General features: G+C 46.3%; 1 protein-coding gene across 4 annotated transcripts in view; it reads left to right on the forward strand.

Moving 5' to 3' along the window:
* Nucleotides 1–25,862, forward strand: part of ANO1 (anoctamin 1) — a 223,534-nt gene that overhangs the window by 23,584 nt on the left and 174,088 nt on the right. The window lies entirely within an intron of this gene.

A 25,862-nucleotide genomic window follows, 5' to 3' on the forward strand; every position in this document is an offset into this window, starting at 1 on the left:
AGCTAAATAACACTCCCCACCCCCTCCCCACCACCTGCTACTGCAGTAGGGTTTGGAGCAGGGAAGGGACCTGAGCTGACTTGGGTTCTAACAGGTCCCTCTGGCTGTCCTACAGAGAAAAGGCTGATGGGCCAGGGGCAGAAGCCTGCTCAGAGGCTCTTGCAATAATCCAGGTGCACGAGGCAGGTAGGGGAGGGTGACCCTGGGTCTATTTTGAAAGTAGGGCCCACAGGAATTGCCAGCACATGGAATGTAGGGGCTGAGAGCAGGAGAGTAGTCAAAAATGGTTCTGAGATTTCCAGATTGAGTGGCTGGAAGAAGGAAAAGACCACAAGGAGAGGTTTGGGTGGGGATAAGTGAGAGGTTTACTACTTGTTGTTTTGTTTTGTTTAAAATTGTGTTAGATATTATATATACCATAACATTTTAATCATTTTAAGTGTAGAATTCAGTGGCATTAAATACATTCACGATGTCATACAACTATCATCACTATCTATTTTCAAAACTTTTTCATCACCCCAAGTAGGAATTCTGTATCCATTAAACAGTCACTTCCCATTCCCCACCCCGCCCTGCCTCTCCTAACCCCTGGTAACCTCTATCTATTCTAATTTCTGCCTCTATAAATTTGTCTATTCTAGATACTTCATATAAATGGTATCACAAAATATTTGTCCTTTTGTGTCTGGCTTCTTTCACTTGGTATGTTTTTAAGGCATCCGTGTTGTAGCATATATCAGTAATCATTAGTTTTATGGAGGAATAATGTTCCATTGAATGGATATACCACATTGCGTTTGTCCATTCATCTATCGACAGACATGGGTTATTTCCACCTTTTGGCTATTTTGAAAATGCTGCAATGAGCATTTGCATGTGAGTGTCTGTTTGAGTTCCTATTGTCAAATTTCTGAGGTATATACCTAGAAGTAAAATTGCTGGATCACATAGTTTTATCTTTAACTTTTTAAGGAACTGCCAAACTGTTTTACACAATGGCTGCACCATTTTACAGGCCCCCTACTAGTGTATGCGGGTTCTAGTATCTCCACATCCTTAGCAGCACTTGATATATATACTGTTTAATTACAGCAATCCTGTGGGTGCGAAGTGGTATATCATTGTGGCTTTGATTTTCACTGCCTAATCACTATGTCATTTATAGATCATTTGTTTATCTTCTTTGGAGAAATATCTACTCAATTCCTTTGTCTATTTTCTAATTGAGTTGTTTGTCTTTTTGGTTGGATTGTAGGAGTTTTTATAGAGCTTGGATATTAAACTTTTATCAGCTGAATGATTTGCAAATATCTTCTCCCATTCTGTAGGTTGTCTTTTCACTTTCTCCATAATGTCCTTTGATGTACAAAATTTTTAATTTTCATGAAGCCCAACTTACCTACGTTTTCTTTTGTTGCTCATGCTTTTGGAGTCATCTCTAAGAATCCATTGCCAAATTCAAGGTTGCAATGATCTACCCCGATGTTTTCCTCTAAGAGTTTTATGCTTTTAGTTTTTATATTTAGGTCAGTCCATTTTTAGTTAATTTTTGTATGTGGAGTACGCTAGAGAGCCAAATTCATTCCTCTGCATGTGAATATCCATTTGTTTCAGCACAATTTGTTGAAAAGACTGTTCTGTAGGGGTTTGCTTTTGAGCATGTTAATAATTACAACAATCACAAAAGCTGACATTTGGCACACTTCCTGCACACCAGCTGTCATTCAGAGCACTTGGTGTATTTGAACTTGGGGTAGGTTTGGGATGCCCTGTGGACATTCACGAGGAGACAGACTCAATGTTAACCCCAAGCCCAGAGACAGATTCCTCCATTGACAGCAGGGGTAGGAATGACCCATCTAGAGAGGAGCCTGCCCCCCTGTCCTCTGTGACCAAATGCAAAGGCTGGAGGAAGCATAGCCCAGGGGACCACCATGCCACCTGCAGTGATGGGCAAGTACCAGTTGTGAACAGAACCCGATGTTCTGTGGAAATAGTTCACACAGTGAGTTTCTCTTCCATATTGTGATGTAAATAACTGAGGAAACTTCTGTCTCTGCAATTGGATGCATCATTCAAATCAAACTAAACAGACATAGATGCATCTCCTTTAGGACAGTTACAGTACCAGAAATGAGGGATACAGTGTATCCACAATTCCAGGAGCTGGGATATAATGTAGCCATAGGACCAGAAGGTGGGGATACAGTGTAGCTATAGCCCTTGCTCTCATGGAGTGCAGTCTATGCAGCTTTATATTATGATCTGTGTTGTAGAAGGGTTCTAATTCTGGCTAAGTAAGCTCTGTGTGCCAATAGTGGGTCCACCCCAATATCCCAGGCCCCCTCCCTCTGTGCTGATGCCATGCGAGCTCAGCTCCCACTTCTCTTAGAGCATGCAGCAGCTTGGGTCTCAGTTAATTTCGTCCACCACTTCTGTCTCCCTTGATGGACTTGGTTTACTTGGTGGCAAGAAAAAAGTCTCGTTCATTTCTCTAGCCCTAGCCCAGGGCCTGGCCATGGCAGGCCTGGTGAAAGTCAGGTGGATGAATGGATGGATGGATGAGTGATGGGTGGGTAGATGAATGGATGATGGATGGATAGTAGGTGAATGGATGGATGGACGAATGGATAGATGGATGGATGGATGGATGGATGGATGGATGGATGGATGATGGATAAATGGATGGATGGACAGCTGGATAGATGAATGGATGGATGGATGGATGGTAATTGATAGTTGTTGACAACTCATTTTGTTCTAGGCACTATTGCAAGCCCTTTACTCATGTCATTCCCTTTAATACTCACGTTAAGTTATATTAGGAGCCACTTTGAACTCCAGACAAGGAAACTGAGGAACTCAAAGAGCAAGGAATGTGCCTAATTTCCCACCTCCAAGAGTGTTCTCTTGGTGAATCCATCAGGATGGGCCAGCCACACCTGGCTGGGCAGGGGAGGACCCTGAGACTCAGATGCTGAGAGAAAAGGCCTACCAGTTAGGTATGGCAGGATAAGGACTGCCACTCTCTCTCCTGGCTCCAACCTAGGTCCTCACTAATTCAGCTGCTGCCTCCCTAGCTCTCTGGAGAGAAGATATGTCTCTGTGATTGCCTTGTTGCTGCAGGAGCCACACTGGAGAGGCTGGACTGTTTGGTGAGGCCTTCGTCTCTCCCCGTGCCTGCCTCTGCCTGGCATTGTTCCCCTCGTCAACGTCTATCATGGCCCTCAGCCTTCAGCACTGGGCACACATGCCAGGGTTTTCATGCTGTGTAATGAAGCATTAAAAGCCTTCCCAGCCCTCAGAGATCCATTTGACAATGGTCACATGGCCATTAGGTAGACAAATTACTAGTTTCATCTATTTAGCCCTGGAAGGGGACCCACACATACAGTAGATGCCCTCCTGGTAATTTCAGCTTCCTTTCTCATGGCAGCTCATGGGGACATTTTGCCTCCTCTGGGCCTTTTGCCATGATTCGTCTGGGCTCTGGGTCCCCACATGCAGCCAAACCCACACAACCCTGGGAATGCCAGCCCCACCCCAATGGGGCCAGCCACCCCCTCCTGAGACAGCGCCCTGTCTTCAGCTGCACCCTTGTTTGCCCCTGGGTGTGGTGTGCAAACACTACCCTTGATACCCAAGACTTAATTCTTTCCCTTTTACACTTAATCAGAATTATTTCTGCCCACATATGGCCTCTGGTGTGTAATGATTTTTTAATGCATTTACATGGCACTTCAACACAAAAGTCTGAACATGGTGGAAATGGAGCTATTGATGTGAGCAATTAGAAAGGAGGCATAATCTGGCATAATGTTTATTGCATTGTGTTTCCTGGACCATCAACAGCTGGATATTGGGACAGACTGGGAATTCAGGGGAAAAGGGAGAGAGCCTCGGGCTATATTCCAGTTCCTGCTTGCCAAATTGATCAAGGTGTGTGCTAGGCCAAAGGTAGCGTTTGCTTCCTAGTCCCAGCTCGGTCTTCAGATCTCCCCAGCCTCCATCCCTTATTCAAGTCACAAAACTGTGGGCACCACTGTATCCTTGCCCCTTGGTTTGTGTCCCCACTTCCAGCCCACCACCTGGTGCAGCTGGCGCCCCTTCCTGTGCATTTTTCGAATCTGTCCACTGCTTTCCATATCTACAGACAAACAAGATGACTTCACTCTTTCTGTCTTCATGGCCTGCCTGCAGGCGGGGCTCACCTGCCTCTCCAGATTCCTTTTTCTCCCCCAGCTGCCCTCTCCATCTGGCCTCACTGGCCTTCCTATAGCCCTTCATCCCCTCTTCCCTGCTCCTGGGGCCTGGGCACATATAGCCCCTCGGCCTGTAGCTCCATCTCTCCCTCTGCAATGCGGCACAGGCCCCTCTCCCTGGGCACTCACGCATCTGCCCCACATTCATTTTCATGAGGAGTTGGTCAGTGTCACTCCCCCTGCACTTGATCAAGTTCCAAAAGGCAGGTCCAGGCTTGTTTTTGCCAATTTGATTTTACACCCCCAATTTGTCGTTAACCCCCCCCCACAGTCACAGCTGGAAGGGACCTAAGCGGTGCATGGGCTAGCTGAGCATCACCTCTGGGGTTCAGGAAACCCTTGCACCGTGTTCTTGGTCTCAGAAGACTCCTGGGAATTAAACCCACCATTTTGTTTCATTTTTGTGCTATATGATAAAGAAGTGATTTTAAGCATAAATATTTCATTTTGGATGCTGATCTATTATTGAAAGGTGTGAATTGGTGTGTTCATTCGCCTCTCCCTGGGTGGATGGGTGGATGGATGGGTGGATGAATGGATGGATGGGTGGGTGGATGGATAGATGGACGGATGGATGAATAAATGAATGGATAGAGAGATGGAAGAATGGAGGAATGGAGATAGACAGATAAAAGGAGGGAGGAAGAGAGAGATTTCTATATATTTTGAATAATATAGATAATCTCTATAGACATCATCTATATATATATGATGGCAATTTTTAATTTTCACTCATTTAGCAAGAAAAGCTCAGTGCTAACTCTCTTCAATACTTGGTAAACAGGAAGCATGATTTGTCAAATGCAAACAAGAAAGTTCATTTTATAACTGGTTTGAGGTGATGCTGTCACATCAAAAATAGACCCAAACTGCTTCCATCAGCTTGCATGTTACATTTCCAAAGTCAGCCAACTGGGTTTTGTCTTTTTCATGACTTGTTTCTACATAATGACACAAGTGGTGTGAGTTCAGACTGCTTTTCACAATCTCTTCCCCACCAGACACACACAGTAGGCATGAGACGGGCTCACTTCCAGCCAGGTATATTCACATCAGATTGTAATCATCACCATCATTCCTTTGTTTTTGTTTAAATAAACTTTTGCTTTTAGAACAGTTTTAGCTCTACAGAATTATTGCAAAGATAGTACAGAAAATTCCCACATACTGCACACCGTTTCCCCTGTTTTTAACATTTTATGTTAGTGTGGTATATGTATCACCACTAATGCACAAATGCTGGCACTGTTTTTTTTTTTTTTTTTTTTTTTTGAGATGGAATCTTGCTGTGTCACCCAGGCTGGAGTGCAATGGCGTGATCTTGGCCCACTGCAACCTCCACCTCCCCAGTTCAAGCAATTCTCCTGCCTCAGCCTCCCAAGCAGCTGGGACTACAGGCGCGTGCCACCACACCCAGCTAATTTTGTATTTTTAGTAGAGATGGGCTTTCACCATGTTGGCCAGGCTGGTCTTGAACTCCTGACCTTGTGATCTACCCACCTCAGCCTCTCAAAGTGCTAGGATTACAGGCATGAGCCACCATGCCCGGCCACTGGCACGTTTTTATCTAAAGCCCATAGTGTATGCAGATGTCCTTGGCTTTTATCTAACATCTGTTTCTGTCCTAGGATCCCCTCCAGAACACCACAGTGCATTTAGTCCTCATGACTCTTTAGGCTCCTCTTGGCCATGACAGTTTCACAGATTTTCCTTGTTTTCTGTTGACTCTGATACTTTTGAGAAGTGCTGGTCAGGTCTTTTGTAGACTGTCCCTCAACTGGAACTTTCTTCTCATTATTCAGCTGGGATTATTAGTTTGAGGGAGGAAGACCACCGAGGTAAAGAGCCATTCTCATGGCATCATATCAAGGGTACATACTGTCACCATGACTTATCACTGCTGGTATGGACCCCGATCACCTGGCTGCTTCTCCACCGTCAGGTTACTAGCACTGGTGTTTGAAGTACTGGAGATTTCAGGCCGGGCGCAGTGGCTCACGTCTGTAATCCCAGCACTTTGGGAGGCAGAGGTGGAGGCGGGTGGATCACCTGAGGTCAGGAGTTTGAGACCAGCTGGCTAATAGAGCGAAACCCTGTATCTACTAAAAATAAACAATTAGCCAGGCATGGTGACATGTGCTTGTAATCCCAGCTATTTGGGATGCTGAGACAGGAGAATCGCTTGAACCCAGGAGGTAGAGGTTGCAGTGAGCCGATATTGCATCATTGCACTCCACCCTGGGCGACAGCAAGACTTTGTCTCAAAACAAACCAACCAACCAATAAAAAATGAAGTACTGGAGATTTCTTAATAGACTATATAGAAGGATTTAGATTGGAACCATCAATCTATGAAACTTATGAGACCATCCTGAGCTGAATTTGCTGAACATTGATCACACTGGGATCCTCCTTAACTAGTATGTTCACATCAGCATTCCTCATTCCTAACTCATTAGAGTTATCAATTAAACAATAGGTGAGTAAGAAGAAAAACAATTTAAAATGCTCCCTTGGCCAAATCTCTGCAGGTGGTTAGAAGTGTTCGGCTGAACAGTAAGTTGTGCCCTGACTTCTACTGACCACCTCATGATACCCACAGAGGCTCTCCAACTTCCATTTCAAAGGGAGAAATGTTTAAATGATCATGTTATTGATTTTAATAAACAGTCATTGGAACAGGTGTTTTTCTGCCCTTAAAGAGGCTAATGAATGGCCTGCATTTCATCCAGAGACCCCTGAATGAGATAGCCAGGTCCAACCTCGTCCTTGAACTGGTAACAGGTGGAAAGTAGAGCTCAGAGAGGTTGAGTGATATTCCTCAGGTCACACAGCAGTTTGGTGGCAGGAATGGGTGTACTGGCTCCAAGTCCAGCATTCTCTCTCCCCAAATACCAAGTCAGATGAGGAGGTTAGAGTCTGAGGACAATAATCCCTGAAAACCTCTCAGGAAGGCCATCTTGGAGACCCATCTCTAACACAGATCTAGCACCTAAGTGTTTCCTCCTGCCTGTCTCTGTAACAGAATGCCAGATGAAGTTCTAAGCTTGGGTTTAGAGGGAAGCTTGTACGGAAAATGCACAGGTCACCTGGAACACAAAGATCCCAGGGTGTGGGGTGATGTCTGCATGCTGAGAGTCACCAGGCCATGAGACCTTAATGTGGAACAGTGGGGTCACCTCCTGCAACTCAGGCACCCTCTGAGGAGTCTGCTCCCTGGGTTGTGGGTGGTGGGTGGAACAACTTGCAGTGCTTAAATTTTTGCTTTTATCACTGTTCTTTTGGGGGAAAGCATCCATTCTAGTTAAATCTGAATATATTCACTGCATCCACAGGAAGAATAAGGATGGCTCCAAAGCATACTCTGAGCTGGTTTACATTTTACACTTCATTCTGCATTTTAAACATTACCTTGCCCTGTCCTGCCATTACCCCCACCCCCACCTCCACTGCATAAAATATTACAGTCAGTTTATATAGGCGGGTAAAATATAAGAAAATTGCTTATAAATTACATCAGGATGAAAGACAAAAATAAAAGAAGTCAAGGATGGGGGCAGGAAGGGAGCATGCCAGGAGTGAGCCCCAGGACCATGGCTCTGAGAGGCCAGACCTACTGGTCCCCCAGGCCACAGGGCCAGACATGAAAATCAACCCATGGCTCAGGAAAAGCTCTCCCCCAGCCACTCTCCCCCCGTCCCAACGGCAGCCACAGGGCCTTTGCACAAGCATTCTCCTCTGATATGGTTTGGAGCTGTGTCCCGCCCAAATCTCACGTTGAAATGTAATCCCCAGTGCTGGAGGAGGGGCCTGGTGGGAGGTGACTGGATCATGGGGGCCGTTTCTCATGAATGGTTTGGCAACCGTTCCCCTTAGCGATAGTGATAGTGAGTTCTCACGAACCAGTTTTCATCGGGTTGTTTTAAAAGTGTGTCATACTTCACCCTTTCTCTCTCTCTTGCTCCTGCTCCTGCCTGTGAGACGTCTGCTCCCCCTTTGCCTTCCGCCGTGAGTAAAAGCTCCCTGAGGCCTCCCCAGAAGCAGATGCTGCCATGTTTCCTGTACAGCCTGCGGAGCCATCAGCCAAATTAAACCTCTTTTCTTTATAAATTACCCAGGCTTCAATATTTCTTTATAGCAGTGCGAGAATGGCCTAATACATCCTTCCCAGAGCATCTTTCTCCACGCCTCCTCCTCATTCTCTTGGCTTAAAAGTCACCTGGACAGAGACCCTCCTGGACCACTCCATCCAGCTGTGAGCATGCATTCAGCACACTCCTCACACGGGTTTCTCTCCTGTATAGGACTTTGTAACTAGGTGTTTTAGACTGAGCTGTAATTTACATACAGTAAAATGTCCAGATCTTAAGTGAACAATTGGATCAATTGTAACACAAATCTAAACATCTACACCCCATTAAGATATAAAATAGCTCCATCACCCCAGAACGTGGCCTCTTGCCCCTTCCCCACCAATCCCCCCGCCCCATTGCCCCATGGCATAATTCTGCCTATTCTAGCTCTTCCTATAAATAAAAGCATGAGTGCAGATTCTCCTGTGTCCAGCGTCCTCGGTTCAGGGGAAATGTTTTGGTGTTCATGAGTAGTATGTCCCCCAGTGCCCCATTGTGTGGGCGTCCTCATGGGGTATCCATTCTTCTAGGAAGATCCTGGGGCTGTTTCCAGTTCGAAGCCATTATTAATAAAGCTGCAAGGAAGAAATATTTTTATGGATGTGTGTTTTTATATCTCTGATAAATATATTCAACTGGAATCATTGGGTGTATTAGGCCATTCTCCCATTGCCAAAAAGAAATACCTGGCCAGGCGCAGTGGCTCACACCTGCAATCTCAGCACTTGGGTGGCTGAGGCAGGTGGTTCACCTGAGGTCAGGAGTTCGAGACCATCCTGACCAACATGGCAAAACCCCATCTCTACTAAAAATACAAAAATTGGCTGGGCGTGGTGTCAGGTGCCTGTAATCCCAGCTACTTGGAAGACTGAGGCAGGAGACTCGCTTGAACCCAGGAGGTGGAGGTTGCAGTGAGCCGAGATAGCACCATTGCACTGCAGCCTGGGCAACAAGAGCAAAACTCTGTTTGAAAGAATAAAAGGAATACCTGAGCCTGGTGAGCCAAGATTGTACTACTGCACTCCAGCCTGGGTGACAGAGTGAGACTGTCTCAAAAAAAAAAAAAAAAGAGATTTTTTAAAAAGAAAGAAAGAAAGAGAGACCTGAGTCTGGGCAATTTACAAAGAAAAGAGGTTGAATTGGCTCACGGTTCTGCAGGCTGTACAGGAAGCATGGCGGCATCTGCTCAGCTTCTGGGTAGGACTCAGGAAGCTTACAATCATGGAGGAAGGCGAAGGGGAAGCAGGCATATCATATGGCCAGAGCAGGAGCAAGAGAGACAGCATGGAGGTGCCACACACTTTTAAATAACTGAATCTCATGAGAACTCACTTACTCTCATGAGGACAGTACCAAGGACACACTATTAACCACGCTTGAGAAACTGTCCCCATGATCCTATCACCTCCCACCAGGTCCCACCTCCAACAGTGGGGACGACATTTCGATATGAGATTTGGGCGGGGACAATGTCCAAACTATATCACTGTGTTATGACATAGGATGAAAGCGCCTTTAATGATTTAAGAAACTCCCAAACAATTTGCCAGAGTGCTTTGCTAGGTTCCGTGCTCACCAGCAGCATCTGAGAACATAACAGGATTCTAATGTGTTGGCTTTACGCACCATCTGGCCCTCCTCACCCGCTAACATAAACGCCAGGGGAAAAGGGCCATGTCTCTTGGGCTCATCTCTGAATCAATGCCTAGCACAGGGACTGTCACTTACTAAGTGCTCAATAAACATTTGCTGAATGAATGAGGCATTTGTACTGCAGCTTTTCTTTCTGCTGCAAATTGGCCAGGGACCCACGTGCCTTACTGAGGATCAAACAGGCTGGGGTTCCTATCCTTTTGTGAATGTGGAGGCATTGGAGGCAGGAGGGAGGGCTATCACATGGCCACCCTGGGGAGTGTCTGATGAGAGTACTAGGGGTTTCCCTAGCACTGGGAAAAAGGGAAGGGAGGCCCCAAAGAGTTCTATTCAGAGCACGGCCCATACTGCTTTATTGTGAAAGTTTCTGAGCCAGGTGTAACCAAATGCTCGCTGCTGCCAAGATAAAGTCTCAGGAAGGAACTTACAGAGGACTCCCAGGGGAATTCCCATAAGAAAACCTTTGTAACTGCAACCAAGTGAGGTCACTTTTTGGATGGAGATAATAAAGTGGGGACATAGCTACCCAAAATGAGCCCTTGGGAAAAAAAATGAACGGAGAGGTTTTCTTTTTGCCTGTAATTAGCTAGATGTTTCATTTGTGTGTTTGAGGCACTCACAGAGGAAGAAAATGGAATGTGACATCTGCTTTATAAGGGAAAGCTTGTTAGTGAAAGATAGAGATGGGCCGGGGGGGGATGCACACTCCCCACCAATCTAAAAGTCATGTCAGGTCACTAAAAAGCATTTTAAAGGAAAAGGCCTGATAAGCATAAGAAAAGGCACTCAAGTTCATTAGTCATCAGGAAATGCAAAGCAAAACCACCCTGAGATTACCATCATACACCCACCTGAGGGGCTGAAATTTCAAAGCGCATGAGATACCGAGCTTTGGCAAGAACATGGAGCAACTGGAACCCTTGCCTACTGCTCATGGGTGTGGAGACTGATACTCTGGAAGACTGATAGGCAGATTTACTATTGAACAAACACATAGTCTGTGGCCCAGCAAAGCCACCCCTGAGCAGTTACTCAACAGAAATGCACACACATCCAAAGCCATGAGTGAAAGTGTCCCCAGTAGCATTGTTCATGATAGCCCGCAACTGGAAGCTCCTGCAGAGACTGTCCACACTCAGACACTAGGATGGATGACTATCCCACGCTCCCTTCCCACCATGTTGCCCTCTACAGCAACAGGAGGAACAACCTGCAACTGCTCCCAGCAACCGCAGTGACTCTCACAAATCACACGTTGAACAAAAAAGGCCAGCACAAAAGGGTACATGAGATACCCAGCTTTGGCAAGAACATGGAGCAACTGGAACCCTTGCCTACTGCTCATGGGTGTGGAGACTGATATTCTGGAAGACTGATAGGCAGATTTACTATTAACAAACACATAGTCTGTGGCCCAGCAAAGCCACCCCAATCCCTGCACAAGGGTAAAAGGCCAGCATTAGGGCAGTTGCAGCAAATGTTGGACACTTCTGGAGGCTGCTCCTGGGATGTTCTATGGCAGAGCCATGGCCAGAGGCCACCTGCTCCTCACATACAGCTGTAGTCTGAGAAACCCCAGCTTGCTGCTTGGTCAGGCAGCTAGCTGGCCTACATTCTAAATAGAATGCTCAGTAAACAAAGAGGCAGAGGCCTCTACTCATGGGTAGTTGAGATGAGAAAACTGTACCAGACCCTTAAGTTCAACAGAAATGCACACACATCCAAAGCCATGAGTGAAAGTGTCCCCAGCAGCATTGTTCATGAAAGCCCGCAACTGGAAGCTCCGCAGGGCCTGTCCACACTCAGACACGAGGATGGATGACTATCCCATGCTCCCTTCCCACCATGCTGCCCTCTACAGCAACAGAAGGAACCACCTGCAACTGCTCCCAGCAACCACAGTGACTCTCACAAATCTGACGTTGAACAAAAAAGGCCAGACACAAAAGGGTACATGATCCCGTTTCTATCGCACACAAAAGCAGGCAAATGAATCCATGGGGATAGAAACCAGAAGAGTGCCCTGAGGGAAAGGAAGGTGCTGCCAGGTGCTGGGTGCATGGGCATGTGTTAGCAAAACATGCTGAGTTGCACACGTATTGCAGGTGCTTTTCTGTATATATCTGTGACACTTCAATAAGATGTGTGTGTGTGTGTGTGTGTGTGTTTTGTTTTTTGTTTTTTTGAGACAGATTCTCACTCTTGTCACCCAGGCTGGAGTGCAGTGGTGCAATCTCAGCTCGCTGCAACCTCTGCTTCTCGAGTTCAAGCAAGTCTCCTGCCTCAGCCTCTCCAGTAGCTCGGATTACAGGTGCCCACCACCACACCATTTTGGAAGGAGTGTTTAAATTACAGCCATGTGCTGTAATGATGTTTTGGTCAATGACGAACCACATACAGAGCAACGGTGGTCCCAAACCGTCCCATAAGATTGGATGGCCTCAATCTGTGCTATTACAATCTTAGGTGGTCCCGTAAGATTGTAATACCATATTTTTAATGTACCTTTTCTATGTGTAGATATAAAAATACTTACCAGCTGAGCGCAGTGGCTCACACCTATAATCCCAGCACTTTGGGAGACCAAGGCAGGTGGATCATGAGGTCAGGATCCCAAACCTGCCCAATATGGGACCAGCCTGCCCAATATGGTGAAACCCCATCTCTACTAAAAATACAAAAATTAGCCAGGCATGGTGGCATGTGCCTGTAGTCCCAGCTACTCAGGAGGCTGAGGCAGGAGAATTGCTTGAACCCGAGAGGCAGAGGTTGCAGTGAGCCGAGATAGAGCCATTGCACTCCAGCCTGGGCAACAAAGCGAGACTCCACCAAAAAAAAAAAAAAAACACCAAAAAAACACTTACGATTATGTTGCCTACAGTATTCAGTGCAGTAACATGCTGTGAAGGTTTGTAGCCTAGGAGCAATGGGCCACGCCATACAGCCTAGCTGTGCGGTGGCTACGTCATCTCAGTTTGTGTAAGAACACTCTATGTTCACACTATGATGAAAACACCTAATGACACATTTCTCAGAGTCCCTGTGGTTAAGTGGTGCATGACTGCATTTTCTAATTCAGTTAGAAGATATAGGTCAGGAAACAGCTTTAAAGAAGTCATGGGTGCCGTCGAGCACTTCCTCTGTTGGAAACGGCCAACAACCATTGAGGGTAAAGCAAACTCTGGTTCCTGTCTGATTCTATACCCCTAATACCCCAAAGTGAGTTCCAGGCAAAGTAAAGATCTGAGTGCAAAAAACAAAATCATTAAGTATAAAAATAAAATTATAAATATTCTAGAAGAAAATAAGATGGACACTTACATTATCTTCAGGAAGGATTTTCTGAGCACAATACTAAACCCAAAAACTGTCGAGGAAAAATTTTTAACTTCCACAGATTAGAAAAAAAGAAACAACACCGTAAACAAAATAGAAAGAAAAATATCAAGCTGGGGGTAACTATTTGCTGAGTATCCAATAAAGAATTGTTTTTATCACTCTAAAATACACATATTTACAGACCAATTTAAAATGAAAGACCAACACACCAATGGGAAAATCGGCATGACCACAATAGGCAACTTACCACCAAAATGGCTAACTATTTAGAAAAGACAGCTTTACTCATAATCAGAGAAATCCACATTATAGGATCTGAGATGCTCATCAAACAGGCAAAATCGGTCAATATTACAATGGTTCAGCCTGTGGAAAACAAGCTGTCTCCTGACTCTGATATGGTCCCACTGGTCTCAGGACAGCTTGGCAGCATGTCGTCACCAATTCTCCCACAGACTTACTGTGTACCTCCTGTATGCAGGGCATTCTTGTATGGAAAGTGTTCCCTTCCACAGCCCTCTTCAGGCTGCAGGAAGCTTACTCTGTGCTGGGAGGGCATATCACCCTTTATGTCCAGTGCTTAGCACAGAGCTGGGGCTTAATAAATTGTTGGTGGATGGATGGGTGGATGGATGGATGGATGGATGGATGGATGGATGGATGGATGGATGGATGGATAAATGGGTAGATGAATGGAATGGGTGGATGGATAGGTAATTGTATTGATGGAGAGGATGGAGTAAATAAAACAGATGTTTACCACTTGATCAAATCACTCCAATCCTAGAAACATATCCTACAGAATTGATTGAGCAGGTGGATAAAGACTGTTTCACATAGAACAGTGAAAAAGAAATGACCCTAAGTAGGGACTGGATGGCTACCTGTGGACACCCCACAGGGAATAGTGTGAGGCTGCTATATCCTGGCCCTCAGCTCCTGCCATGTTCTCCCAGCCTCCACGTGCCAACCATACAGCCTCTCCCCACTTCTGGAAGAATCCAGGCACACTGTCCCGTCCAGACCACCCACGAGCTCCTCCTTCAGCCTGAGGCACTTTTCCTCCTGCTCCGACCCTTTGGACCTCCCTCATAACCTCTTCCCAGTCCCCAGGAGCCCACCAGGGGCTCCTTCAGCGGCCCCCAAAGCCCCAGGTCCTCACACAGTGGTCTCACCACCCTGCACCCCACCTGACTTTGTCTTCACAAGGGCAGCGCTGTGTTCCCATCTTGTTGGCTGGATGTTTTTCAAGCATCTGGTCTGTGCTAGACGTGAGCTTTAGAGTAGTGAGATGTAGTCCAGAACACAGTTACATGAGAGAGAGTGTGTGCAAAAAGAACAGGTTACAAAAAGATACAGCTATTAGAAATTACAATGGCTAATATTTGCTGTGTGTGACCACACGCCGGATGCTTATATGTGCACTTTTACAGGGACCATCTCATGACTAGTCATTGTGCCCTTCGAGGGAGGTACTGCTCCTTCCCCAATTTAAGGTGAGGCAACCTCTCACATGGTTGTGATGTGGTGGAGCCAGTGCTCAAATCCACACAGTGGGAACACAGGGTTCCAGGCCACTGTCAGATGGGGGCTATGAGAATAAAGCGTGTCGCGACGTTACGCAGCATCTCCTGGCTCTCAGAGCTTGCAGCCACAGGCTTCTCCATCACACTGCCCTCAAAAAATATCGTGGAGCAATGGAGATATCTTTTGTGTGGCTGCCCTGCTTTCTTCTAGACTTGGCAAATAAGCTTTCAGTGCTACTGGGAGAGATTTAACACAGTGGGCACAAGTGAGGTTGATTTACACTAGCGCACCTTTGAACAGTCCTTGACTTGGGGAATTAGAATTGGTGACAGAGGCCGGGCGCTGTGGCTCACACCTGTAATCCCAACACTTTGGGAGTCCCAGGTGGGTGGATCACCTGAGGTCAGGAGTTCGAGACCAGCCTGGCCAACATTGCAAAACCCCGTCTCTACTAAAACTACAAAAATTAGCCAGGTGTGGTTGCAGGTGCTTGAAATCCCAGCTACTCAGGAGGCTGAGGCAGGAGAATTGCTAGAACCTGGGAGGCGCAGGCTGCAGTGAGCCGAGATCGTGCCACTGCACTCCAGCCTGGGTGACAGAGCGAGATTCCAACTCAAAAAAAAAAAAAAAATTGGTGACAGAAACATTCTTATCATGGGTGCATTACAAATGTCACCACTGGCTACTGAACATCTCTTTAGTCTTTAGAACTTTATTATGTGTTTATGTTCTCATTTACTCCACCCAAATCCCCTCACAGATTGATATCATTTTCATTATTTTACAAGTGAAGAAGCTGGGGTTCAGAGAGGTGAAGTAACATGGCAGAAGTCACACAGCCCAAACTGATATATCAGAGCATAAGGCTTTTCTCTGCCAGCTTCAGAACCAGGGAGGAGATGGCATGTTGCTTAAAATGTCAATGGAAATAAAACGTTCTTGTTGGCACACTGTCCTGAATTATTCTAGGACACATCTGTGAGAAATTCCTAGGGTTTGCAATCTCCGCTCCTCTGTGGAGTCAGCCAAACATGGCCTCATTGTTGATCTTCAGAGGCATATTTTTAGTGTGAGGTGGGTTGTGTTTATTTATTCGATGAATAGCAAAATGAGGTTTCTATAAATAAAGCCATGTCTTTCTCCCCCTCATTTTATTTCCTGTGCACGATTCACAAGTGAGTTGACCAATCCAATGAGTTTACCAGCTCCAAAGAATTCAAAATGGAAAAATTCCTGGGACTGACCGAGAAGGGACAGTCCAGCCTTTAAAGTGTCTCTCCATCTCGACCACCAAAGCTGTGGCTTTTGACTCCTTGTTAAGAGCAGACGTCTGTCCTGTCTGGGGATGGATTCTGATCATTTTTAGTAGTAATTACGTGAAGACTCTTCCTCTTTTAACTGACAGCAATAGAACAGTTGTGGACCAAGTGATAAATCCATTTCCACTTTTCAGTCTGTAAAACACTTTGCACCAGTCTGGGGAAATAAACACCAACACATACAAGCTTTGCAAACTCTGGGGTGGCAGGTGTAACCAGCTAGGCAACCAATGACCACGTTTGTGGGAAGAGACATCTTCAGCTCTTACCTACGTGGAGACACGCTCCGGTCCCTAAACACACCTACCCAGCTGTCTTATGTGCCATCTCAGGAGTGAGGATGCCCATCTCCACCTGCAAGCCAATTTCCCCACTGGGCATGTTGTCCAGTGAGCAGGAACTAGTCCAGGACTTTCACATCCAATTTGATGCTAAAACTTTCTTCCACCCAAGCGTGTGTTCCCATTGTCAACCTGGTTTTCCCCCTCCCATCATGACATTTTATCCCTCATGGCTTCTTCCTGCCTACAGCTCTTCCTTATCTGAACTTGACCCCAGCCCTGTAAGCAAATTTGCAAGTCCAGGGACTGCCTGGGGTGGGCGCGCCCAGGCTGACATGATGCTTGCCCACCCACCTCCCCTACCTCTGCTCTCTGCCCTGAACCCCACACACAGACCCTGGCCTACAAATGCTGATCTCTCAAACAGCCTGTATTTCACTCTTTCTTTCTTCCTTTCTTTCTTTCTTTTCTTTCTTTCTTTCTTACTTACTTTCTTTCTTTCCTTCTTTCTTTCTCTTTCTTTCTTTCTTCTTTCTTTTCTTTCTTCTTTCTTTCTTTCTTCTTTCTTTTTTTTTTTTTTTTTTTTTTTTGAGATGGAGTCTCACTCTGTGACCCAGACTGGAGTGCAGTGTTGCGATCTTGGCTCACTGCAACCTTCACCTCTCTGGTTCAAGTAATTCTCCTGCCTCGACCTCCCAAGTAGCTGGGATCACAAGTGCCTACCACCAAGTCTGGCTAATTTTTCTATTTTTAGTAGGGAAGGGGTTTCGCCACGTTGGCCAGGCTGGTCTCGAACTCCTGACTTCAGGTGATCCGCCCGCCTCGGCCTCCCAAAGTGCTGGGATGACGGGGGTGAGCCATCACACCCGGCCCATTTTAATCATTTTAAATGTACAGTACAATAGTATTAACTGTATGCACATTGCTGTGCATTAACTGTATGCACATGATGCTGTGCATACTGAAACTCTGTACCCATTGAACAGCAACTTCCCCCTCCCTGAGCCCCTGGCAACCATCATTTTACTTTCTGTTTCTGAGAGTTTGGTTGTTTTAGATACCCCATATGAGTGGAATCCAACAGTAACTGTCTTTCTGTATCTGACTTACTTCACTTCGCATAATATCCTCAAAGTTCATTCAACTGGTAGCATATTGCAGAACCTCCTTTCTTTCTTTTTTTTTTTTTTTTTTCTTGAGACAGAGTCTCGCTTAGTCACCCAGGCTGGAGTGCAGTGGCGCGATCTCAGCTCACGGCAAGCTCCGCCTCCCGGGTTCACGCCATTCTCCTGCCTCAGCCTCCCGAGTAGCTGGGACTACAAGTGCCTGCCACCACAACTGGCTAATTTTTAGTATTTTTATTAGAGACGGGGTTTCACCATGTTAGCCAGGATGGTCTCGATCTCCTGACCTCGTGATCCGCCGGCCCATCTTGGCCTCCCAAAGTGCTGGGATTACAGGCGTGAGCCACCGCGCCCGGCCACCTCCTTTCTTTTTAAGGCTTAACAATATCTCATTGTATGGTAGACCACATTTTACTTCTCTATTGATCAGCTGATGACTAGTTAGGTTGTTTCCACCCCTTGCCTGGCTATTTCCAATAACGCTGCAACGAACCTAGGTGTGCAGATGCCTCTTTGGGATCCTGCTTTAAATTCCTTTGGGGAGACACCCAGCAATGGGATTACTGGATCAATTTTTCATTTTTTTAGGAACTTCCATGCTGTTTCCACTGCAGTGACATTACTTTACATTCCCACCTCTAGTACACAAATGTTTCAGTTTGTCCACATCCTCATCCAAACGTGTTATTTTATGCTTCGGGTTATTATTACTTTTTTTAATAGCGGCCATCCCAGTGGGTGTGAGGTGGTATCTCCTTGTGGTTTGGCTTTGCATTTCCCTGATGACTAGTGATGTGGAGCATCTTACCATGTGCTTCTTGACCATTTGTGTTTTCTTTAGAGAAATGTCTATTAATTCTCTTGCTCATTTTAAAATCAGAGTATTTGATTTTGTTGTTGTTGAGTTACAGGAGCTCTTTATATATATTAGATATTAATCCCTTATCAAATATATGCCTTACAAATATTTCTTCTACTCAGTAAATTGCCGTTTCACTCTGTTTATTTCCTTTGCTGTGCAGAAGTTTTTGAGCTCGATACAGTCTCATTTTGCTTTGGTTGCCTGTGCCTGTGGTCTCATATCCAAGAAACAATGCCAAGTCATGTCATAAGTTTCTGCCCTGTGTTTTCTTCTAGCAGTTCTGTATTTGCAGGTCTTATGTTTAGGTCTTTAATCCATTTTGAGTTCACTTTTGTATATGGCGTAAGGTAAGGATCCAGCTTCATTCTTTTGCATGTGAATATCCAGTTTCCCAGCGACCTTTGGCAAAGAGATTGTCCTTTTCCCATTGAGTGGTCTTGGCACATTTGTGGAAGATCATTTGACCATGTCCAGGAGGGTTTATTTCTGGGCTCTCTGTTCTGTTCCATTGGCCTATGCGTCTTTCTTTCTGCCAGTGCCAACTGTTTTACTCCTTTAGCTCTTTTTTTTTTTTAAGGCGTGATATTTGCCTTCATCTTTGGCAACATGCACCTCAAACTGCTTCAATTTTTGCCCAACTTTTAATGAAACAAGTGCCCTTTAGATTTTGTGGCACATGATGACCATGGACACCTTACAAAGAGTGATTGTGCCATCCAGAATGCTGTCCAGGTCACTGGCCATAGGGAAGGCCGGCTCTCCCTTCCCTCTTGTTGAGTGGGGACCTTCACAGACACTCCAGGAGCACAGGTACCTGTCCAGGAGACCCACATGGATGCAGCCTGTGTCCCACACATCTGAATGGGAAAATGTCGAGGAATCAGTGGGATGAGCGTGGCCCAGCCTCAGAGTTTCCAGGCAGACTAAGGCCTGTTCCACATGAGGTTAACATTGGCCCCCGGAGAGTCCTTTTAGGACCTCCACAGACATTTCCCGCATTCCTGGTCATCTGGAGACAATGGAGTGTCCTTAGCAGGTTTTTATTATTTCCTTCTCTTAACACCCAGCAGAATTTATGCCAATTTGGAAATCAAAGGACAAAGGGACACAGTGGAGTGGTCTCTCCCTATGTCACCGAGCACGAGCCAAGACTAGCTGGGAGCCCACAGATCAGGGACAGTCTACGAATGTGGTTGTGTGAGGTCAAGCATCTCTTTCTCGGGGAGGGAGGATAGCAGCTCTGCCAGAGTAGTTCCTTGAAACTCTCAGAGGAGGCAGGTGAACAGTGCTCCATGACTGGAGTCCCTGGTGGCATCACCTGGGGCCTCTGACATCTGCTGCTGTCATGTCTGACTGTACCAAGTGACTTCTTCTTTCCCTGGACCTGAGTTCTCCATCCTCATGTGGGTCCAGCCACACTGCAGGGCAGTGGGAGGAAAGAGGATTTTGAGAAGCTTTTTGAAAAGGCCTGTCTTGGTGCATTTTGCGTTGCTATAAAGGAATGCATGAGGCTGGGTAATTCACAAATAAAAAGGTTTATTTGGCTCATGGTTTCAATGGTTGGGAAGGTCAAGACTGGACATTTGGTGAGACCTCAGGAAGCTTCTACTCATGGTGGAAGGCAAAGGGGATGAGCCTGTGCAGATAAATATGAGAGAGAAAGGCAGAGAGGGGAGAGGTGTTGGGCTCTTTTTAAATTATTATTTCAATATTTTGGGGGAACAGGTGGTGTTTGGTTACATGGATATGTTCTTTAGTGGTGATTTCTGATATTTTGGTACAGCCATCACCTGAGCAGTGTACACTGCACCCAATGTGTAGTCTTTTATCCCTCACCCTCCTCCCACCCTTCCCCCAAGTCCCTAGAGTCTATGATGTCATTCCTATGCCTTTGCATCCTCATAGTTTAGCTCCCACTTATAGGTGAGAACATACAATGTTTGGTTTTCCATTCCTGAGTTACTTCCCTTAGAATAATGATCTCCAACTCCATCCAGGTTGCTGTGAATATCCTTATTTCATTTCTTTTTATGGCGGAGTAGTATTCCATGGTGTGTGTGTGTGTGTGTGTGTGTGTGTGTGCGCGTGTGTGTGTGTATATATATATATATATATCACATTTTCTTTATCCACTCATCAGTTGATGGGCATTTAGGCTGGTTTCATATTTTTGCAATTGAGAATTGTGCTCAATTGCACACATGGAAACATATAAACACAGGTGTGCAAGTGCCTTTTTCACATAATGACTTCTTTTCCTCTGGGTAGATACCCAGTACTGGCTCTTTTTAACAACCAGTGGCTCTTGTGGAAATGACTAGAGTGAAAGCTCCCTCACCCCTAGGGAGGGCACAGATATATTCATGAGGAATCCACTCCTGTGACCGGGACACCTCCCATTAGACCCCACCTGCAACACTGGGGATCACATTTAAACATGAGGCTTGAGGGACTAACCATAGCAAGGCCTGAGGGCTTGCATCCTAGGCAGATGAGGGGCTCAGTGGTATACAGGAAGCTGCACAAAGACAGGGGCTGCAGAGAGGCCTGGGGCATCATGGGAGAGATGGACAGACAGTGACTCAAACAGCAATGGAATCAGTAGCCTCATCACTGTCCCTCAAACACTCAAAGCCCCCGCTCCCACCAGGGGTCCTGGTCCCTGCTATTCCTCCTGCCTGGGATGTGCTCCTCTGGAGAGGGGCACAGCCCATCTCACTTGGCACAGCCTCAGAGATGCCTTCCTCAACCTCCCACATCTTCTGAGGATTCTCCTCCCCTTCTCTGTTGTCCATAAGACTTACCACATATTTATAGTGGCTACTGTTTCCTCCACAACCATGTGTGCTCCCTGGGGCAGGGACTGCCTGTCTCGCTCACTACTGCACACCCAGTGCCTGAACAGATGTCTACACTGCTCTGTGAATGCAGATAGAATATACAAGGGATGTGCCCAGTGCCATGATTTGGTTGGGGGAGAGTCTGACATGATATGTAGAAGAGTACAGGAGGGCCTCCTGGAGGGAGTGACCTTTACTCTCACAACATGCAGAATGAGTAGGAGTTAGGCAGAAAGGTGCAGGAAGGGTGTCGAGGCAGAGGGAACAGCGTGTGCAATGGCCTGGGGTCGGGGAGTGGAGAGCAGGGTGGAGGAACTCAGAGACATGGAGTTTGGCTGGAGTGAGCAGGGGAGGGAAGGATGGGAAGTGTCCTTCAGCAGTTAAGTGGGTGTCAGGACATTTAGTGCCTGTCAGCCAGGTGAGTTTAGGACCTACCCCATCTCTGCCTGTCTGACCTTGCAGCTCACACAGGAGCACCCTTTGGGCTTCTGGTACCCACAGCAGCCATGCTGCCAGTATGTGCCAGCTTCCCACACACCCAGGTACTCAGACCAGAATCTTTTCACATCACCCACTCTGGTACTGGGGACATATCCTTCATCCATTTTCAATAAATTCCACTCTCCCACAACCCCCCACCTCTACAACTTCTATATAGCTGGAAGGCCTCATGTAGGGATTCTAAGATGAAGCATCTCAGTTAGGAGTATTTTCTAGGTGTTTCCAAACATTAGCAGTTTAAGAACATAAATATTTGAAGAGGTCCACTATTTGCCTCATCGATGAAAGCTTGGAAGTGTATTCTTAGATCATCCCCTGAAAATCTGCAGAGTGCTGAGTGTTGACTCATTCTTGCAGCATCCACGCACCTCAAAGGATCAATAGATGGCTGTAATAGCAAAGTCGTTGTAAATAAGAATTGTTACTTGTGGAAGATCTATTTACTGAGAATTGATAGCCACCAATCCAGCCATTTTTCCATAAGTTCATTCCTCCATCCATTCATCCAACCAACCAGCCATTCATCCATTTTTCCATCTATTCATCCACCCATCTATCCATCCATCCATCCATCTTTCCATCCATCCATCCATCCATCCATTGTTCCATCTATCTATCCATCCATTGTTGGATCTAACCATTCATTCATCTATCAATCTGTCTATTCATGCAGACATCCACATATCCATTTGTCCATCTATTCACTCATCCATTCTTTCATCCATCCATCCATCCATTGTTCCATCTATCTATCCATCCATTGTTGTATCTATCTATCCATTCATCCATCCAGCAATCTATCTATTCATTCACACATTCATCCATCCATTTGTCCATCTATTCATCCATCCATCCTTTCACCCATCCATCCATCCATTGTTCCATCTATCTATCCATCCGTTATTCCATCTATCCATCCTTTCCTTCATCCATCCATCCATCCATTATTCCATCTATCCATCCTTTCCTTCATCCATTCATCCATCCATCCACCCATTACTCCATCCATCTATCCATTCATTCATCTATCTATTTGTCCACAAATTCATCTATCCATTTGTACATCTATTCACTCATCCATTCTTTCATCCATCCATCCATCCATTGTTCCATCTATCTATCCATCCATTGTTGTATCTATCTATCCATTCATTCATCTGGCAATCTATTCATTCACACATTCATCCATCCCCTTTGTCTAGTCATCCATCCATCCATTGTTCCATCTATCTATCCATCCATTATTCCATCTATCCGTCCTTTCCTTCATCCATCCATCCATCCATCCATTATTCCATCCATCCATCCATCCATTCTTTCATCTATCTATTCGTCCACACATTCATCCATCCATTTGCCCATCTATTCATCCATCCATACATCTATTATTATTTCATCTATTCATCCACACGTCCATCCATTCATTTGCTTTTTCATCCATCCATCCTTTCATTCACAGTGAGCAGGGCGGTCCCACTGGACAACAAGACCAACCATGCCCTCAGAAAGTTCACTGTGTAGTGGGGAAGGCAGACAATAGGCAACAATATTTCATTTATTTCCAACTGAGAGGGGCGCAATGAAGGAAAAGGGCAGGTGCTTTGAGAATTTACACCAGAGGGATCTGACCCAATGTGGGATCAGGAAAACCTCCCTAACAAAAAACCACATTTAATCCGGGACCTGAAGGATGAGTAGAAACTTGCCGGGCAAAAACATGGAGAAAGTGTGTTAGGCAGAGAGGCCAGCAGTGCAAAAGTCCTGAGGCAGGAAGTGCCTGGCATGTTCAAGCAACTGAAATGAGGTCAGTGTAGCCACAGCAGTGGCCAAGGCTAGAGAGGCCAACAGGGGCCAGATCATACTGGCCTTCAAGATCACGTTGCAAATTTGGACTTGATCTTAAGAGAAGACAAGAAGCTAGGGGAAGATTGCAAACAGCAGGGCCACACCAGGCTTGCCTTTTTTTTAAAAAAGGAGGTTTTGATTGAATCTATCATACATAGAGAAAAGCACACATGTCCCAGGCATACATTATTGGTCATCGAGGGCTGCCATAACAAAGTGTCAGCTGGGCGTGGTGACTTACACTTGTAATCCCAGCACTTTGGGAGGCCAAGGCAGAGGCAGGGGGATCACCTGAGGCCAGGAGTTTGAGACCAGCCTGGCCAACATGGTGAAACCCCGTCTCCACTAAAACAAAACAAAACAAAACAAAACAAAACAAAAAATTAGCCAGGTGTGGTGACGCATGCCTCAAGTCCCAGCTACTCAGGAGGCTGAGGCAGGAGAATCGTCCAAACTCGGGAAGCGGAGGTTGCCATGAACCGAGATCGCGCCACTGCACTCCAGCCTGGGTGACAGAGTGAGCCTCCATCTAAAAAAAAGAAAAGAAAAGAAAAGAAAAAGTGTCACTGACTAGGCTTCAACAGCATGAATGTGTTGTCTTACAGCTCTAAAGGCTGGAAGTCTGAGGTCAGGGCGCTGCCAAGCCTGGTTCCTGCTGAGGCCTGTCTCCCTGGCTTCTAGATGGCCACCTCCTCCTTGGGTCTTCACTTGGCCTCTTCTCTGTGCACGGACAGAGAGAGAGAGAGAGAGATCTCTGGTGTCTCTTCCTCTTCTTATAAGAACACAGTCCTATCTGATCAGGGTCCCATGGGGCCGTAGTTTAACCTCAGTTTCCCCCTTAAAGGCCCTTTCTCCAAATACAGTTCCATTGCGGGTGAGAGTTTTAACATATCAACTGGGGGGGAAGCACAATTCACTCCTTAGGAGCTCAGCGTATTTTCACAATGTGAACTCACTCATGTGACTAGCACTAAGATAAAGGAAAAGATTGCAACCCCCCCACCCCCCCACCAAGGACAACGTGCAGGAGCTCTTCAGGGCACCCCACTCCCCGCCCCTGAGCCGCTCCTTTGCCTCCAACACCATAGAGCAGTTTTGCCTGGTTTTGATGTCAACATCAATGCCGTTGCAGAGCTTATCCTTGTGTGCCCGACTCCTTTCCCGCAAGCCCTCTGCTCCCGAGATTCCTCCGTGCTGCTCTGTGCAGTTCTAGTTCACTCACCGTCACTGCCGAGTCCTCTTGCACTTGGGAGTCCACCACACGTGGCCTGCCCAGGCTGCTGCTGCTGGTCTGTGGGTGTTTGGGGTGACTGGGAGCAGTGCTGCTCTATCTGGTGGTCTTGTGAAGGTCTCTTGGGGAACGTCTGGGAACACTCCTGTTGAGAGTATGCTGGGAGCAGGATTGCTGGGTTGTGGGTTCATACAGTTTCGGCTCTAAGAAATGATACCTCGCCGTTTTCCAAAGCAGCGGTTCCAGCTGATGCTCCCACAGCCCTGCAAGGGAGTTCCGGATGCTCTGCATCCTCAGTACTTGTTTGTCCTTTTTTATTTTTGTTTTTGTTTTTTTTTTTTCTTTTTTTTTTTTTTAGAGGCTGGGTCTTGCTGTCGCTCAGGTTGGAATGCAGTGGCACAATCTTGCCTTTATAAAAGATCGCTTTGGCTATGGCATGGAGAGTGGGCAACAGGAGTGGGAAGGCCAGACTGAGGGTGCTTCAGGGAATCCAGGGGAGAGAAGAGGTGGCCAGGTCTAGGGTGGAGGCCGGGGGGATGGAGACACGTGGACCAATAGCAATTCTCAATAATTGTGCCCAGGGCTCGGCAGGCCACTGTCCCTTTTGGCTCGTAAGTTTTTGTGCTAGTGTCCATCTCTTTGGTCTTTTTATCGTTCCATTCATGGAGCCATTTTGGGCGTTTTCATGGTTGTGATTGTCTGCTGAAAAACCTGAAAATCCCCAAGCCACAGAGAAAGGCAGGTTAAATACCAGAGAGTTAATTTCTCAGGAAATGTTTTCCCTCCTCTTTGGGCCCAGTGACTAGATATTTATGTATTGATGACCTACTCTGTGCAGGGCAATTTTTTTTTAAACAATCCAGGTGCTCCCTGCCCTCAGGGGGATATGATCCAGAAGGCACCGGGATATGGCCCAGCGCAGGTTCAGCCTCATCGCAAGAA

Source organism: Homo sapiens, chromosome 11 (assembly GCF_000001405.40).
Source record: "Homo sapiens chromosome 11, GRCh38.p14 Primary Assembly".
Taxonomy (NCBI): Eukaryota; Metazoa; Chordata; class Mammalia; order Primates; family Hominidae; genus Homo; species Homo sapiens.